The sequence below is a fragment of the Homo sapiens genome, chromosome 12 (genome assembly GCF_000001405.40).
Source record: "Homo sapiens chromosome 12, GRCh38.p14 Primary Assembly".
Taxonomy (NCBI): domain Eukaryota; kingdom Metazoa; phylum Chordata; class Mammalia; order Primates; family Hominidae; genus Homo; species Homo sapiens.
In genome coordinates this window covers 15,816,693-15,836,065 of record NC_000012.12, presented here as the reverse complement: position 1 = coordinate 15,836,065, position 19,373 = coordinate 15,816,693, and the positions used below count along the sequence as shown (strand labels likewise).

General features: G+C 38.0%; 1 long non-coding RNA gene across 3 annotated transcripts in view; it reads left to right on the top strand.

The window, feature by feature from the left end:
- Nucleotides 1-18,997, top strand: part of LOC102724146 (uncharacterized) — a 65,230-nt gene extending 46,233 nt beyond the window's left edge. For 2 of the 3 annotated variants that reach the window (XR_002957404.2, XR_007063230.1), the window contains 2 exons: nucleotides 7,694-7,885; nucleotides 18,956-18,997. This is a non-coding gene — a long non-coding RNA (uncharacterized LOC102724146). Of the gene's footprint in view, nucleotides 1-7,693; nucleotides 8,161-18,955 lie in introns of those variants that run through there. The other variant, XR_007063229.1, reaches the window with a different exon arrangement.
- The last annotated feature ends 376 nt before the right edge of the window (nucleotides 18,998-19,373 follow it).

Here is a 19,373-nt window from a genome sequence, read left to right as displayed (position 1 = left end):
TAAAAATTCTGTTTCAGAGCTTCAGTGAGGCAAATCTGCATAATGTTTGTCATCCTGGCTATGTGATGACATAGGAAATAGAGGTACATTTTAGGAAGACTTGCATTGTTATTATGTGAAACACCTACTAGGAAAACTTACAACTCCGTGTTTCTTTTTCTTCCAATGGAACTATATTTTTAGCCCATTGTAATGATCTGAATAATGTTAATGATTTCTTTGACATTCATTTATAAAGATGAGATTTTAATGGCCAGTAAAGCAGTGATCCCCAACCTTTTTGGCACCAGATAGCGGTTTCATGGAAGACAGTTTTTCCATGGATGGAGTTGGGGGGATGGTTTTGGGATGAAACTGTTCCACCTCAGATCATCAAGCATTAGTTAGATTCCCATAAGGAGTGCACAACTGAGGTCTCTCACAGTTCACAATAGAGCTTGCACCCCTATAAGTATCTAATGCCATTGCTGATCTAACAGGAGGCAGAGCTCAGGTGGTAATGCCCTTTCACCTGCTGCTCACCTCCTGCTGTGTGGTCCGGTTACTAACAGACTACTGACAGGTAGTGGTCCATGGCCTGGGATGTGGGGAACCCTGCAATATGTCCAAATCCCAAAACTCCAGAATTCTCTGTGAATAAATTGTTTTGAGAGAGTGGTGGTAAAACAGTGTGAGGAGGTTATCTACAGGGTCTTACTTTATTCTCTCTTTGTAAAAAAGTACTTTTCGGGCCGGGCATGGTGGCTCATGCCTGTAATCCCAGCACTTTGGGAGGTCAAGGTGGGCGGATCACCAGGTCAGGAGATTGACACCATCCTGGCCAACACAGTGAAAACCCATCTCTACTAAAAATACAAAAATTAGCTTGGCGTGGTGGTGGGTGCCTGTAGTCCCAGCTACTCGGGAGTCTGAGGCAGGAGAATCGCTTGAACCCGGGAGGCAGAGGCTGCAGTGAGCTGAGATCGCGCCACTGCACTCCAGCCTGGCAACAGAGTGAGATTCCATCTCAAAAAAATAAAAAATAAAAAAAGTACTTTTCATCTACAATATAGTTTTAGACACCTAGAAGAGATTATTCAGGAAGATCCTTTCAAGGCAGTCGCCGTTCTTAAAGATTTGAATTAAACATTGATGATCCATTTTGCCTGAAATTTTGTTTCAGTGTTACTTGTGGCCATGCTAGCAGCTTACAGTGTCACATTACTTGAAATGAAAAGGAAGTTCTGCATTTCGGTAAAAACAAATTCCATAACCTCTCACCAGGAAAAAAAAAGGTTGCTGTTCCTGTAAATTACTAAGTGTTTAGAAAGGTGTGGAATCCACATGCAAAAAGGATTGCAACATATTGAAAAAAATACAATGAGCCAGTTACAGAGACTTAACGCTGGCCATGTGTTGCCAAGAGATTTTGTATCACTGTTTATATGAAAGTGCATAGCACACAGATGGGTACACAATTATTAGTTCAAATATTAGTTCAAGTCTAAACTGTTTAATTTTTTATTGTGTAAGTGGAAAAACATTCTGTTGAAAGGTATAACTAATCAGAGGTTATTTTATTAATAAATCAATTATAGACACAAGTGAGAGGATTACCCCTGAAATCTTAATGGAACTCAGAGGACTTTGAATCAATGTCTTCCTTAGACCAAAGGGGAAAATTGAGTTGCTTATTTTTCCAAGGCTTCTCAATCTTGATTCTGGTCTGGGTACACTGAAAAATTAATAATGAAAGATTTTTTAAAATTTCCTTATTATTGGTATTTATTATCTTCATAAAATGGCTATCTTTAGAATTAAACAAATGAATTAAAAACATGATGTGTAATGCAATTAAAATGCTGATGCTCTTTCCCAAATATTTTTTGGTAACTGTTTAATATATGATTTGACAAATATTCAGAAATTATTAGAAACATTTCTTAATGGAAATCCCGTTAATTTGATTTAATTAAATTTGAAAAGCGAACACCTAGCACAAACTTTTAACCACCAATAAATAGGATGCTATGTGATTTTACTTTTCTAGGTGCTGGGGATATAGCTGTCAGGAACTATAGACAGTCTGGGATTTTACTCTACTTTCAAGCTAATAGGCTAGCCTGTTACTGTATCATGGACACTGGGAAAAGGTATTAGACTCTTGAATCGGAGATAAAGGACTCTATTACTTATGATGTAACAGGCAGCATGATCTTCACATTTTCTTGTATCAATTTTCCACGACCCCCAAATTTCATGGGGATGACATAGGGGGGCCTGTACAGATGCCTACACACTCATTAGAGAGAGGAACACTGTGCTTAGAGAACTTTGAGTGCAGGGTAACAAGTCTGTTCTTTGTCTAGGAGAAGATACTACCTTATCCCTCCAAGGCTGTTGCTTGCTACAAACATAATCCTGAAGAAAGGCCCAGGTGAAGACCAGTGAGAGCCGTGAATTCTTGGTATATCCAGCAATACTGGACAGGGACTCTTAGGGCCTGTTAGCACGTTGCCTTTCCTAACAAAAGCCTTAGTTTCTTGCACTTAAAGAGCTTACATTTTGAAATTAGAAGGATTCTTCCTGATTAAAGGATTTCATCCTGGGCTGTTTTACTCCTTCTCAACTATGGCAGCGTGACCTCGAAGCTTGCATTGGCCTTTTCCCCAATTTTAGTTTTATACTCACTGTTTCTCCATCTTCCATTGCTATTTACATCTTCCTTGTTAAGTCTCATGCATTAGTCAGATTTTGCCTACATCCCAGGAGCTATATTGCCGTCACAAAGGCTGGACTGAGTTTCTCAAGACATTCCCAGGCAATTTCCTTAAATCCTGACCATCCTTTCTGCATAGTCAGTTACTCTTGCCCAAAGCAATTGCATAGAGCAAGTGCCCCATGTAGACCTGAAGACTCAGGCCAGTCACAGTTTTGTAGGCCATGATACAACCTGGGTCACCCTGAGCTAGGCTTCAAGATTCTGGGCATCTGTGTCTGCTGTGTCCAGCTAGATGTTACATGTGTGTGGCAGAAGAGGACTGTCTTCTTCATCTATTGTTGTAAAACAAAATGTGGAGTTTAATTGAAATCAGAACAGGGATACATTAAACAAACACAAAGTAGTTTTCTGATTATCAATTTTTGGACTCAAAGCATCTTCAAAACATTGGGGATCCAGCTTATCCCTGAGAGACATCATCAAGCATTACTAAAAGTTTTCACTCTTTGAACTATTCATTCACATTTTGTTGCAGAAAACAGGACAAAGTTCCAGACATATCCTTCCTTTCTTCTTTCTAAAATACACTCACAAACAGGGACTTTTCATAGTTCAAAAGAAAAACAAATAGCTTTCTTTCTTGACTAGTTGGCCTGTTACTCTCACCCTGGAATCTCATCTCTCAATAAGAGGGTCCAGGGCACCAAATTCAAGCAGAAATTCCAAGGACATCACTTTACTTGTCTTTCTATGAAGTTAAGTATGCGTTAGTCTTTCTATGAGGGAGACAATCTTCTGGGATTATTAACACCAGTCAATAGTCCCAGGAGGGTGGGGCAGGGAGTGGAAAGGAGGGTGAATGCAATAGTTAAGGTGTAAGGGAAAAGAATTTCTTGCTATCATCAGGTCTAGTTCTTTAAAGCATGATCGTGCATTGAAATTTTGCTATGAGTGGTGACCAATATTAGAAAGAAAAAGGTTCGTTTGTCTTACAGTTGCTTGACTCTGAAGATTCTGAGCTGCCCAAGCCTATGTCCGTGAAGGATTGTAAAGAGCCCTCAATTCACCTGTGCTCTCCCAAGAGAGAGCTAGCATGTTATGGGGTGGTGGCAACCCACCATTTTTAGCACCAACTGCTGAAAGATAGAAAATAAAAGAATTGAGGATTCTTAGAAGAGAGAAGACTTGAAGGTGACCATGTAAGGCTTATTCTATAGCCTCAAGTAAGATGATATAATATAGAAATTTTTTTAAAAAAATTTGCACCGTTCTCTGGATTCCAGCTGTGTTCATTCTGCAAAGCAGTGTGTCTAAATGTTTTTCCAGATATATTGGGCATGATAGCCAGTTTACCCAGTATGTCATAGTCCTGGTTATGATGAACATAGTTAAGAAGTAGAAGAGACGGAGAAAGATTGGAAGAAAATGGAAATGTGAGAGATTGTGGCTGTGCAGCAACAGTTAATTTATATGCATGGCTGTGTATATGAATGAGAATGTATATGATTCATGGTTTAAAGATGGTAGTGTAATACATGTACCTGTATGTATGTATGATGGAACTAACTAGCCCATTGTATATTAGCTCCAAGCTACTATTGTGGTTTTAAAAAGCTGAAACAGTCATTTCCTTGCCAGCTTCATTATGTCACATATAAATATATGTTCTGTGTGGGAAAGAAAAATATTGTATAGGCAAAGGAATTTCTATGAGAAAGATACAGAGTCTTTGAAAGAGACTTAAAATCTATGACTAAATGAGAGAAATAAATGACATTTCTACTACAACGCCCTTGTCAGGTTATATTAGAGAAAATTTATGTCACTGACAAGCCAAAGAAGGAGGCATTTGTATGCTACTGACAGTTGGTACAATATGTGTGTAGAAATGAACTTAAGTGTGGGAAACAAAAGAAACAAAAAACCTGGAAGAGAGCTGACTAGAAAGAGAACAAATAGGAAAAAGTGAAATACTTAGCTATATGAAACAATTTTTAAATAGTATTGTGTTAGATTCTCAAGGACGGATATGTGCTGACACAGTGTCTGGGATTTCAGACCAAGTACTCAGGTTCACATTGGATTAAACTTATCACCCCAGACTTGAGCCAAGAGCTCACCTTCGTCATGACCACTCAGCTATTAGCATCATGGAGTATAGCAGTGTAAATCGATCATACAGAAGTCCTTCTGGTTTTAGAATAAAATGGCAAAGTTGGAGAGAGCCCCCATGAAGATAATGCTCTAGTCAGACCTGCAAATATTGGCTGAATAGATGGTTTGGACAGAAAGTTTCAAGCAAAGAATCTGACTAAGTACTATTATGGGTTAACTAAATTGAGGAAATCTAAAAATTTCTCATAAAGATGCCCAGTTTCTTAAGAAATTGCCCTTGTTTTTGGACAATGAGCCACATCTTGTATTCATTCGAGGCCTCCATGTTGCTCCACTGGATGAAGCTGACTGCCCTGGCAATATGGCTGTGACTACACAGCTTGCAATGAAGTAGGCTTTGGACCACTGGTAGGAGAACTCCCTCCTAGAAACCAGAGAAATTCAAGAGGGGTTAGAGAACTATGAGTTATATTTGGCACCTACCAAAAAGTCATGCTGAAAACGTGGGATTCAGAGGCCAAGGAATGAGGGGGATTGAGAGTCCACACCGTCCAGTACTGGGGATTATTTTGCTAACATGTACTATACACAAGCAGGAATTTAACAAATACTTGGTTGATGAGCTCATTATGTATTTTTTATCCTCATGAATTGTGGAAGCTAAAACTGGATTTGGTGTATTAATGTCATTATCATTTTTGTATTACAACACTGAGCAAACAAGTAAGTAGTTTTTGTTGGTAAGACATCTTTTTTTAAAAAATGACAAGGATAAAAAGAAATATTAGAAATGACTCTGTCACTAAGGAGTTATACCTTGGGAGACAAGACATACTGGCAAAGAAATAATAATGCAAGTCATATTAGATCAGTTCCAAACACATTTGTTCCCCCACTCCTTCCGGAGACTTGAAAGGCAAAGCCTTACTCTTTTGAACTAGTTTCTCTTTTCTTTTATCCCTCTTCTATCGTCTCTCTACAATCCTCAATCTTCAGTGTTGAGTTGGAAAACTTAGATCATTTATAAGTTCTCATGATAATTTGGTTTGAGAAACACAGTGTAGGCAGCAATTGTGGGGGAGGAACAGTCCCAGGGGAGTGGTAGTTGCTGGGCCTTTTACAGAAAGAGCAGGACTCTGATAACTAGATATAAATGCGATGGGTATTTCAGGAAGGAGGAAGAGCCTGAACAGATCATGTCTCAGGAATGAATGAGACCTGTTTTGCTGCAGTGAGTAGTGAACTCTGGAAAAGAAAAACTGTGGCAGAGAGATGGGGCAGTGGGCAGGTGGTTAAAGGTCTCTAATAGGGCCTTATTTAATCCCTAAGCAGTGAAAAGTCAATGCATGCTTCTACATAAGAATTTAATTTATACCAAACAGGTTTTAAGAATAATTCTGGATTGATGTATAGAAGATGTGAGGAAGCAAGAAACAGACTGCAAAATGGTACTAACAAGAACTAGAAAGAAATGTAATAATCATCTTAGTCAACTTACTCAATTTCTGGTGTCTGGTGTGTATGTGTGTTTGTGTGTGTGTGCACACGTGTGTGTGTGTGTGTGTGTGTGTATTGGGGTGGAGAGCAAGGAAATTTAGCAGAGAGGTTGCCTAAGGTCATAAGCTAATTAACAGCAGAAATAGACTAGACCTGACTCACAGTTTAGGACAAGATCCCCTATATCAGGGGTCCCCAAGCCCTAGGCCACAGATTGGTACCGGTCTGTGGTCTGGTAGGAACTGGGCCACACAGCAGGAGGTGAGCAGTGAGTGAGTGAGTGAAGCTTCATTTGTTTTTACAGCTGCTCCCCATACCTCCCATTACCACCTGAGCTCCACCTCCTGTCAGATGAGCCCTAGCATTAGATTCCCATTGGAGTGCGAATTCTATTGTGAATTCTGCATGGGAGGGATCTAGGATCTAGGATGCAAGCTTCTTATGAGAATCGAATGCCTGATGATCTGTCACTGTCTCCCATCACCCCCAAATGGGACTGTCTAGTTGCAGGAAAACAAGTCCAGGGCTCCAACTGATTGTGCCTTATGGTGAGTTGTATAATTATGTCATTATATATTACAATGTATTAATAATATAAATAAAGCACACAATAAATGTAATGTGCTTAAATCATTGCAAAACTATCCCCCACCCCCTGGGTCTGTAAAAAAAATTGTCTTCAATGAAACCCATCCCTGGTGCCAAAAAGGTTGGAAACCACTGCCCTATATCATTGTTAGGAATCTATGGCAACATCCAGGAGCTAACAAATGAAGGCAGAAGTGGGGCCTGCCATTTTATCCAGATTGTAAAGCCATTTGAGAGGAAGTAGAACATAAGAATCAATTGGCCAGGCATGATGGCTTACGCCTGTAATCCCAGCACTTTGGGAGGCTGAAATGGGTAGGTGGCTTGAGCTCAGGAGTTCAAGACCAGCCCGGGCAACATGGAGAAACCCTGTCTCTACTAAAAAATCCAAAAAATTTAGGTGGGTGTGGTGGCTGGTGCCTGTGGTCCCAGCTACTCGGGAGGCTGAGGTGGGAGGATTGCTTGAATCCAGGAGGTCAAGGCTACAGTGAGCCAAGATGGCACCACTGCACTCCAGCCTGGGTGATAGAGCAAGACCCTGTCTCAAAAAAACAAACAAACAAAAAAAGAATCAATGAAGATATGATTAGTAATTGAATTGTGTATTCGTTTCCTATTGCTGCTCTCCTAAATTACCACAAACTAGATGGGTTAGAGCAGCATAAGTTTATTATCTTACCATCCTGAAAGGTCAGAGGCCTGAAATTGGTTCCACTGGGCTAAAATCAAGGTTTCAATGGGGCTGCCTTCCTGCCGGGGGCTGTAGGAGATCTGTTTTCTTGCCTTTTCCAGGTTCTAGAGGTTGCCTGCATTCCTTGACTCCTGAATCTCTATCACCTTCAGAGCCAGATATTTCCTGCTGAGTCTTTCTGAGGCTGCATCACCCTGACCCTGACTCTTCCATCTCCATCCTTCATGCTTAAAGGATCCTGGTGATTACATTGGACCCTCCCGTACAATCTAGGATACATTTTTAACCTTAAGGTCAGTTTATTAGCAACCATAATACCCCCTTGGATATAACATAGCATACTCATAGGTTTCAGAAATTAGGACATGGACATCTTTGGGGGAAAGGGAGGAAGCCATTATTCTGCCTACCGTAGATAGAGTATACAGAGGTAAAATAAATAAAAGATAACATCAAGCTTTTATAATTGAGAAACTGTAAAGACAAGGGTACACATGACAGAAATAAAGAAGCTGAAGAGGGGAAGCTGATAGGGGGCGCAAATCATCTGAGAAATGTCGTGTTTTAATTTGTGGTGTTCTATTCAGATGAAATATCCCAACAGGCATTACAAAAGCTGAGGGTTAGAAATGTTCCTATTTAGTTAGTGCTAATTCCTACTGTGTAGTAAGACGTTTTTCATGTTCTTATTTTTTTCTATCAGTATGTTTCCTCATATTCAAAACTTTTTGGCAGTAAAACTTAAAGACAGAATATATATAAATGTCTGCTATGCATGACAGATTTCCTATTATGATTAACATGTCTTACTATTCCAGAATTTAGTTATCTTGCCTTTAAAATGGTTTTCTCATGGACACATAGTGTTATATTATGTATAAGAAGCTTTAAAAAGGTTCTGTGTGTTTCTTATAGCTCCAGTGTTTTAATGGTATTCTATACAACTTCAGATGAAAACTCTTCTATTTAATAGATGCAGTATTCAAAGTCCAAAGGCAGTTATCTTTATAAACTAAAATCATAGCAGTTGGCTGTGATTAAAAACATTTTCAGATAGTTGCACATATCACTAACAGGTACCACGGTAAATTATTCCAAACAGCATTCCAGAGCCAGTGCCAACTTCTTATCATTTTGAGAAATTTATTTCCCCAAGTATACTGCTTCTCAAGTTTATTCTGATTCTGTGATTGGTCAGTGCTGATAGGGTACAAGAAAAAAACAACAAGATAGCAAGACTTATATGGTATAGCAATTAAAACAGCATTTTATTAACATAAGGCAAGACAAATAGACTAAGGGGAAAGAATAATTCAGAAACACAAAAATCTATACAGGAAACTTGATATACAACAATTATAAATCAGTAGGGCAAGGGTTCTGGGACAAGTAGCCATTTGAGGAAAAGAATAAAAGTATTTATCTATTTTATAAATACAAAAAATAAATTTCAGGTGGATTAACATCCATATATGACAACAAAAACCTTACAATGTTTAGAAAAAATACAGCAGAATATGTTCATATCACTAAAATTCCTGGCCATTAGGACATGGATGGTTAAATTTAATTATATAAAAATTTTAAATTTGCATCTGACAAAGATGCTATTTAAAAATTTAAAATGCAAGCCAAAATTGGGAAGGATTTTTGAAATATGTATAACTAACAGAGGATTATTATCCAGACTATATAAACAGTCCTTGCAAAGGAAAAGAAAAACATTTACAGAAACAACACCTAGAAAGCAACAAACACATGAAAAAAAGTTCCATCTCACCAGAATTCAAGAAAATAAAATTAAAATGCAATGAGATATTATTTCATTACCATCAAATTGACAAAAATTTGAAATGATGGTTTTAAATCATGGCCAGGGGTTGGAGGTAATAATATTTCAACCACTGCCAGCAAGATGTAATTTGGTATAAATGATTTGAAAATAAGCTTATACTGTACTTTATTTAAACTGATCATAACCTATAACCTAGAAACTTCCAACTTCAGGTATATACCCCTAGATAAGGATATGTAGACATGCCCACAGAAACATATTCAAGGAATGTTTTTTTCCCAGTATTTTTTGTACTGCTGAAAATTTGGAAACAACTTATATTTTCACCACTAGAACAATAGATATTAATTGTGTTATTTTAGCACAATGGAATACTATACAGAATTTAAGTACATAACTAGATCTACATATGTTTATATGGACAGATTTAAACTTCTTAAACACCACGCAATGTGTAAAAAGCAAGCTGTGAAGGCTATTTTTTTCATTATGCTATTTATGTAAAATGTAAAAAACATTCAAAATAGACTCATGTTTTATTTATAGACACACATATAAGTAGTAAAAGGACAAAAATATGGACTGCATACAGTGATGCATGCCTGTAGTCTCAGCTACTCAGGAGGCTGAGGTAGGAGGATCCCTGGAGCCCAGGAGTTCAAGACCAGCCTGGTTTATACAGCAAGACTACATCTCAAAAATTATAACACACATGAAAAAGACAAAAATATAGATGGAAATGATGTGTACCAACTTTATGATAGTGGTTCTTTCTAGGCAAAATGGGCAAAGTGAAAATAGGGGATTTCAACTTATTTTGTAACTTTTTGTTTCTTAAAAAAGGGGTGCAAAATTGGCAAACAAATATATTAAACTATATATATTATATAAATATGTATTTTTAGACAGAGTCTCACTCTGTCATGCAGGCTGGAGTGCAATGGTACGATCTTGGCTCACTGCAGCCTCTGCCTCCAGGGTTCAAGTTATTCGCCTTCCTCAGGCTCCCAAATAGCTGGGATTACCACCACGCTTGACTAATTTTTGTATTTTTAGTACAGATGGGGTTTCGCCATGTTGGCCAGGCTGGTCTCGAACTCCTGACTTCAAGTGATCCACCCACCTTGGCCTCCAAAGTGTTGGGATTACAGGCGTGAGCCACCGTGCCCGACCTGGCAAACATATTTTTAAATGTTGGAGATATTTTAATGAGTGTCTACTACATATTGCCTATGTAATTATTTAGGGTTTTAAAAATTATTCATTTTATTTATTTCCTAACATTTCTACTGAAATATAACATATTCCATATATATTACTCAATTTGAATTGTAAAATTCAAAGGTTTTCAGGATACTCACAGAGTTGTGCAACTATCACTATGATCAATCTTAGAACATTTTTGTCATCCCAAAAAGAAATCATGTACCCACCAGCATTCACTTCGCAGTTTCCCCCAACCCTTAACAACCCTAGAAAACCACCAATCTACTTTTGATCACTATAGATTGACCTATTCTGGACATTTCATATAAAAGGAATCATACACATGTAGTCTTGTGATTGGCTTTTTTTTCGCTTAGCATGATGTTTTCAATGTTTCATTTCTGTTGTGGCGTATATCAGCACTTCATTCCTTTTTGTGGCAAAATAATATTCCATTTTGGGGTATATTACATTTTGTTTATTCATTCATCAGTTGATGAACATTTGGATTGTTCTGCTTTTGGCCATTATGAATAATGCTGCTATGAGCATTTGTGTACAAGTTCTTATGTGAACATATGTTTACATTACTTAGGAGTGGAATAGGTAGGTCATATGAGAATTCTACATGCAACCTAGAGGACCTGCCAAACTTTTCCAAAGCAGATGCATTATTTTACGTGCTCACAAGCAATGTGTGAGGGGTCTAATTTCTTCACATCCTGACCAACACTTGTTATTGTCTGTCTTTTCTAATTACAGCCATCCTATTGAGCGTGAAATGGTACCTCATTGTGGTTTTGATTTGCCTTTCTCTGATGACTAATGGTGTTGAGCATTCCATTTGCTAATTATCTCTATCCGCCTTTAAATGTATGAAATATTTTATAATTAAAAAATAATTTAAACAACTGTTGCAAATGAAATCTTGGTATGGGGGCTGATGGCATATAGAGCCTGTTAACATTGACTTGGGTGAGTGTTGAAAAAAGAATAATATTTTTAATACTTTTTCGGACACATATTTGGCGAAAATTGCACAGACCATGAAGTGAGAAGAATACAAAATCAGTGGTAAAGTAGTTAGTAGATTGTTAATGTAACTACATAAAAACACAAAACTTCTATTCCACAATTATAAGGAAGGAGTGTGTAAGGTTGTCAACCTCATTAATGAGTCATTATTCATAATCATTTTTATGCAATGAAATACTAGCAGAATAGTAGAATTGGAACACAGTGAGACAAAGAGGCTAGTGGGTGCTCTCCCCCAATAATTAAAAATAGAAAGATGAAGCCAGTTGTGGTGGCTCATGCCTCGAATCCCATTACTTTGGGAGACCGAGGAGGAGGATTGCTTGAGTCTGGGAGTTTGAGCTAGCCTGGGCAACACAGGGAGACTCTATCTCTACAAAATAAAAAATTAGCTGGGGATGGTGGCATATGCCTCTGGTCCCAGCTACCCGGAAGGCTGAGGCAGGAGGATCACTTGGGCCTGGGAGGTTGAGGCTGCAGTGAGCAGTGATTGTGTGACTGCACTCTAGGCTGGGTGACAGAGGGAGGTCCTGTCTCAAAAAATATGCATATATATAGAGAGATCATAAAATCTGGGACAGAACTTCTAGTGAAAACAGTCTGTTCTGTAAAAATACATTGTTTAGAAAGCAAGCACCAATCTCTATTCTAGACTGCTGTAAATCAAATTTGTATAAAAGTTTGATGAAATTTGATTATTAGGTCAAGAATCAGATCAATACATTCTTTTACCCCATGAACAGGATGAGCGTGCCAGGAAATCACATGATTGTGAAACCCTTATTTACAAAGAGCTGTGTTGAAGTCACAGTTGGTATGAATGGGGAGAGTTAATCCAACCTTTGTTTCCTAAAATACTCTCATTCATTTCAAGTACTGTACCTTGTTTAAGGGGACCTTTTTGTGTGTACCTTTTTGTGTGCATGAGTGATAAAGGGGCACTAGGAAAGTGTCCATTGTGAGAAAAGCAGTGAGCAAGCGAAAAGAAAGATCCACCTCCTCTAGCAGCCATAAAGGGAGCCACAAGCAAGATATCTATATTTTAAACATTTGAACATGGTCTAAGAATGATCAATTTAGTTAATATAGTACATGAAAGAATCAGCAATAATGTCAATGACTGCAGCTAAAGAAGGAAGATAAAATATTGTCAGAATGTTTAAGTCCTTTATGCCCTCCTCACTAATTTCAATTTTGGTTAAGTTAATTTGCAAATTAAAGGAAGAATCAGCCTCCAGGATACATGATTTCTCACAAAAGAAACAGCACATGCAAATCTCTGAGGACTACAGCAGCTACTGTGCATGATCAAGAAAATTACCAGTCATTCATTCACTCAACAAATATTGTTGCATCCTACCATGGGCCAGGCACGCTAGAAGCACATGATGCAAAAAGGAAGCAGATTGTAAACATAGCATAAAAATACAGAGTGATCAATTCTGAAGTTTTCTAGCCGGGTGCGGTGGCTCACGCCTGTAATTCCAGCACTTTGGGAGGCTGAGGCGGGTGGATCACCTGAGGTCAGGAGTTCGAGACCAGCCTGGCCAACATAGTGAAACCCTGTCTCTACTAAAAATACAAAAAGTTAGCTGGGCGTGGTGGCGAGCACCTGTAATCCCAGCTACCAGGGAGGCTGAGACGGGAATTGCTTGAACCCGGGAGGCGGAGGTTGCAGTGAGCTGAGATCACACCATTGCACTCCAGCTTGGGCAGGAAGAGCAAAACGCCGTCTCAAAAAATAAATAAACAAATAAATAAATAAATAAAGTATATGTTTTCTTAGGATCTTAATAGGAAATTGAAGAGATCACATAAGTTGCATTCTAGTCAAAGACTCTTTTAAAAAGGAACTTTTGAGTTAAGCTCTAAAGAATGAGTTTTAGGGCAGAAGCAGTATGGGGAAAAGAATTAGACACAGAGAAAGCATCATGTGTTCAGAGGCAAAAGAGGACAAAAGCCCACATTTGGAGAAATGCTCATAATTTAGTACATTTGAATTTGAGGGCCTCTGTGTGGTGTCAGAAGGCTGGTGAGAGAGGACATTAGCAATGGGGCTGTTCATGAATTGCCTTGTTTGTGGGATGCTCAGGAACTTGAACTTCCGTTTGAAGACAGTAGGGAGGCACAGAAGATCTTAAAGCAGGGCGTCAGTACGATGAATGTGATTCAGCGGTCTAAGCCTCAATGGTCTGCAACTAAAAATAAGATCACATTTACTTTCAATGATCAATGTATGCTGAACCATTTATTAATTTGTTGAATCCATCCTTCTCTACTTTGTATCTGTTGGGCTGTTCTGTTGCCCCTGACCCTCATGAAACATCAGCCTTGCTGGGCACAGTTACCTTCCCTTGTTCACTGCTTTTGTAAGCTGTACTGCTCTGTACTCTTTTGCTTTGTTGAAAGCAAGGCCGCAGGCTTCTTCCTGATTTTTTTTTTTTTTTTTACTCCTTACAGAAGAAGTGAGATCAGACTGTATGGGCAACTATGGAGAGGGGATACAACCCTGAGAATTAAGTACAACTTTGGCACCAATCCCTGTTCTTGTCCCCCATTTCTGATCAGGCATATGCCTTGACTAGATCTATGTGTCAGGGGCAGCTCCTCAATTCCCACAAAACCATTCAGGTGTGTCCTTTATTGGAAGACAAAAATCAACCACTTTCTAGCCCAAGAGAAAGGAAGCATCTCTTCCTTTCTATGTCCATCTAATGTCGGCTGTCCAATCCTGTGAGCCTGAGATTTATTTAGTGGATAGGTGATCAACAGCGGAAGCATGTTCCCTTCAGGGAAAAGACCATTCCCACCTGTTGCTCTTATGATCCCAAGAGCAAGGTCACAAAATTTCATCTCATCCATCCAACTACTGAAATTACTATAAAGTTTGGTTCTGATATGATTCTTAATTTCTCCTCATAAGAGACTGTAGAAACATGGTCAAACATGGGTAAGAAATTGTCTCTTTGTATGTAATAGATAAGAGCTTGGGTTCCCAAGTCAGAATTTAAGATGTGGTACTGTCACTTACTGGACTATGTGACCTTGGTAAATTAAGTTGATCAACCCTTCTAAGACACAGGTTCATCATCTACAAAATGAGATAAATAATAATAATATCTACATTCAACATTACTGTGAGGATAGAAAGATAAGATTGTAGAGTTGCAACACAGTGCCTGTCATGTCATAAGCAATAAATAGTAGTGATTATTATTACTATTATTATATATAATTTTGGTTCTTCCTTTTCTGTATTATTTTATGTGTTTCACATTGTTCTGCATTATTATTTTACTAATATCAAAGCTTTCATATCATAACAAACAATTTTTAGTCTTTTCTGCCTCTACAATTATTCTAATACCAATTATTTTCCTTTTTTTCTAATACATGTTTTCTGAAAATTTCTGGCTTTGTTACCTAGGAAAGCATCTGATGTTAAGTATTAAAACCTGATAGACTTTTTTTAAATTGTGACTGGATTTCAAATTGTTACTTCTTCTGGATATTTGAAGTTGAAGGCTTTTCTCTGTCAAAGTATAAGGTGTCTCTTACTCTTGCAACATAATTTCAGAAATTAATAAGCATTTTATAATTAATGTAGTTTATCTTCATATTTTTCTTTCATTCATTCTACACAGCTTAATTTATAGGTTTTGTAGAGGGTAATGCCTCTAGATGCTGCTAGTAAGTAAGTCATGTTTCCTATCTTTAAACAATTGTAATTTTTGGCCAGGTGGGTTGGCTCATGTCTGTAATCCCAGCACTTCTGGAGGCCGAGGCGGGCGGATCACTTTGAGGTCAGAAGTTCAAGACAGCCTGGTCAACATGGTGAAACTCTGTCTCTACTAAAAATACAAAAATTAGCTGGGTGTGGTGGTGTGCACCTGTAGTCCCAACTACTCAGGAAACTGAGGCAGGAGAATCACTTGAATCCGGGAGGTGGAGGTTGCAGTGAGCCGAGATCATGCCACTGCACTCTAGCCTGGGTGACAGAGTGAGACCCTGTTTCAAAAAAAAAAAAAAAATTATAATTTTCTACAGAAGACAGACATGCAAAAGATAATAGAAATACAATCTTGTAAGTGCAATAATAAAAGTCATGTTTGATTTAGGCACACTTAGCAGCACAGTGTAGGGAGTGGTAATAGTGTAGCAGGCAGCAGAGGTGGAAGAGTAATAGAAAACTTCAAAGAGAAGGTCATGTTTACACTAGATCTTGGCAGAGACACTCTGTATACCAATAAAGAGAGGGAAGTCATTCCATTTAGAAAGAGTGTGTGTGTGCATTTATATACGTATACATACATATTACATGTATGTATGTGATGTGTGTGCACTTATATACATATACATTATATGTATATATGTGATGTGTGTTTCTGTGTGTATGCATGCATGAAGGCATAGGAGCAGGAAACAATATGATGGATCTTTCAGGAAATTGGAGGGAGATGATAATAGAGAGGAAGACGTATCATGGAGAATTTATTCTATCTGATGACAGAGATTGGACCCTGCTCTGTAAACAATGAAGGATGATGTTTTACGTATGGTTGTCACATTATCTTCTTTGTATTTTGGGGACAGTCAGTCTGGAAGCAGTTTGAGGGATGGCTTAGAGTGAAACTGGATGTGGTTTGACCTGTAAGGAGACCTTTGTAACAACCTAGGGAAGAAATGCAAAAAGCCTGAAATAGGTTAGTGGTCATGAGGATGAAAAAGGATGGGGCAAACATGAACATATTTTGAGAAGGAATTGATAGGACTTAGTTACCTAGTAAATATGGGTGAAGAGTAGCAACTCTTAATTAATGATTTTGGAAGAAGGATGATGATTTTAATCTGGGGCTGACGAGTTGGAGATTCCTGTAGGATATACAGATAGCAATGTGGCTTATATGTATGGAACTCAGTAGAGAAGTTTGGATTAGAGATACAAATCTTGAGAACTATGATCAGGAAATGTAGAATTATAATAGAAGACCAGGAGGAACACTCTGCAGAACACCAACACTCTCCAGGGAAAAGGAGGACAAAGACCATCAGAGACTGTGAAGCCATTGAATAGACAAAATAAAGCTCAGGTGAAAAACCCCAGAAGCATAGCATCATCAAAACATTCAAGGAGGAAGTAGTCTCCTAATAGCACCAGAAACTCTGAAAAACTTATCCTTGGAAGGAAAGACACTACCAATCCCTACTCATTTTTTTCTTATTCTTTCACTTTGTTCTTCTGACTGTTCAAGCCTAACCTTGCACATTGTTGTTGAACAATAACTGACAAACGATATTAATGATGCTTGTAAAACTAGAGAACATAGAGTTTTCTCACAAATCAAAGAAATAAAATGGCATTCTCCTCTTCAACAAATAGAAGAAAAAGCCATAAGCTTTGTCATTTACTGTATCATGAAATCTTTCAATTTCTATTAAATCCAAGCACATCATCCTCATAAAAATAAAAAAGTAATTGAAAACTACCTCACTATGCCTCATATTTAGTACTATTCTCTCACTACATAATAAAATTTTTCATTTATCATCAGAAGTGATGTGCTGTGTTGCATTTAACTCTACACAGAAAATTTTTCTATTCTTGTTTACTTTTTACTACATTATCAAAATACAATTTAAGAATATTCAACAGAAAGAGAATTAAAATACTGCCTTTTAAAAGAAAAAATGGTCTACCCAATAAAAAATGTTTAACAAAAATTAAAAAGTATAGCAAGGAACATTTCTTACTTTGTTTTTATTACCATAATAAATACAACACCATTATTGTATCCTGGTGACACAATATTTGTTCTGACCAGTTTTCTGAGTAGAAAAGCATTAGTTATACATGAAACTTGAATCCTGACTCAAGTTTAAGTAATCCTGATTCAAGTATAACTTTGGACCTTACAACTCTGCTATATTTTTATTGTGGTTACATAAACCACAATAAAAGTCTGCCATATTTTTATTGTGATATAAAAATAAATAAATTTTTTAAACCGTGATATTTTTATTGCAGTTTTATTTACAAAGCAAGTCATCTTCACAGTTTGACAGTATTATATAATAAAGAAGAAAAATTTTCCATGGGAATGAACGTTGAAAATAAAAACGAATCCTCTTTCAAGTCTATAGAGATTAAAGATGGTTACATTTAGTTTTCATCCTCTTATCAAAAGAAGGAATTTATGTCCACTTGCTTTAAATCTGGGCAGAGTCTGTGTGACTGCTTGACCATTAGCATATAGCAGGATTGATGCTAGGCTGAAGCTCTGGGCCCAATTTGTAAAATACTGATAGTTTCAACTTCCTATTGGAATATTTGTTTCTGGAACCCAACTGCCATGTTGTGAGGAAGCTCAAGCAATCTCATGGGGAGGTCCACATGGAGAAACTCATGTGGAAAGGAGCCAAGGTACCCATCAGTATCTCTCTTTCTCTCTCTCACTCCAACTTGTAAAGATATAACAAGAGCACAGCCATCTGTCCAGGAAGAGGGCCTTTACCAAGAACACAGTTATGCTAGTACCCTGATCTCAGACTTCCAGCCTCCAGAATTGTGAGAAAGAAATGCTTGTTGTTTAGGTCACCTATTCTGTGGTATCTTTGTTAAAGCAGACACTAGCTATGTAAGTGAACTAACTTGCAAGTGGATTCTGTCCCAGGAAACTGCCTCAACTGATGCCATGGGAAAACAGAAACTCACCATCCCAACCCAACCTTTCCAAAATCGTAAATTTATGAGCAAAATAAATGATAACTATTTTGTTTAAAATTTTAAGTTGAGGGGTACACTTGCAGGTTTTTTACCTAGGTGAACTTGTGTCATGGGGGTTTGTCGTACACATTATTTCATCACCCAGGTGGTAAGCCTAGTAGTTATTAGTCATTTTTTCCTGATCCTCTCCCTCCTCCCTCCCTCCACCCTCCTATAGGTCCTAGCATGTGTTGTTCTCCTCTATGTGCCTATGTGTTCTCATATTTAGCTCCCACTTATGAGTGAGAACAAGTGGTATTTGGTTTTCTGTTCCTACATTAGTTTGCTGAGGATAATGGCCTCCAGCTCCATCCATGTCCCTGCAAAGGACATGATCTTGTTCTTTTTTATGGCTGCATAGTATTCTGTGGTGCATATGTACCACATTTTCTGTATCTAGTCTATCATTGATGGACATTTAGGTTGAGCCCATGTCTTTGCTATTGTGAATAGAGTTGTAATGAACATACACATGCATATATGTTTATAATAAAATGATTTATATTCCTTTGGGTATATAGCCAGCAATGGGATTCCTGGGTCGAATGGTATTTCTCTCTTTAGGTCTTCAAGGGATCACCACACTGTCTTCCACAATGGTTGAACTAATTTTCACCCCCACCAATGGTGAGTAAGCATTCCTTTTTCTCCACAACCTCACCAGTATATAGAAAACTGTGGTTTTAAGTTAGTAAGTTTTGGATGGTTTGTTATAGAATAATAGATGACTGAAGTATAATTTTAGAAATATTGCAATAAAGCCAGGCGTAGTAGCTCATGCCTGTAATCATGAGCTACCACACCTGGTGAGGGCAGGAGAATCACTTGAGCCCAGGAATTTGAGACAAGCCCTGGCACCATAACCCCATCTCTATAAAAAATTTAAGAATTTAGTTGTGTGTGGTGGCATGCACCTGTAGCCCCAGCTACTAGGGAGGATAAGTCAAGAGGATTGCTTGAGTCTGGGAGGTTAAAGCTGCAG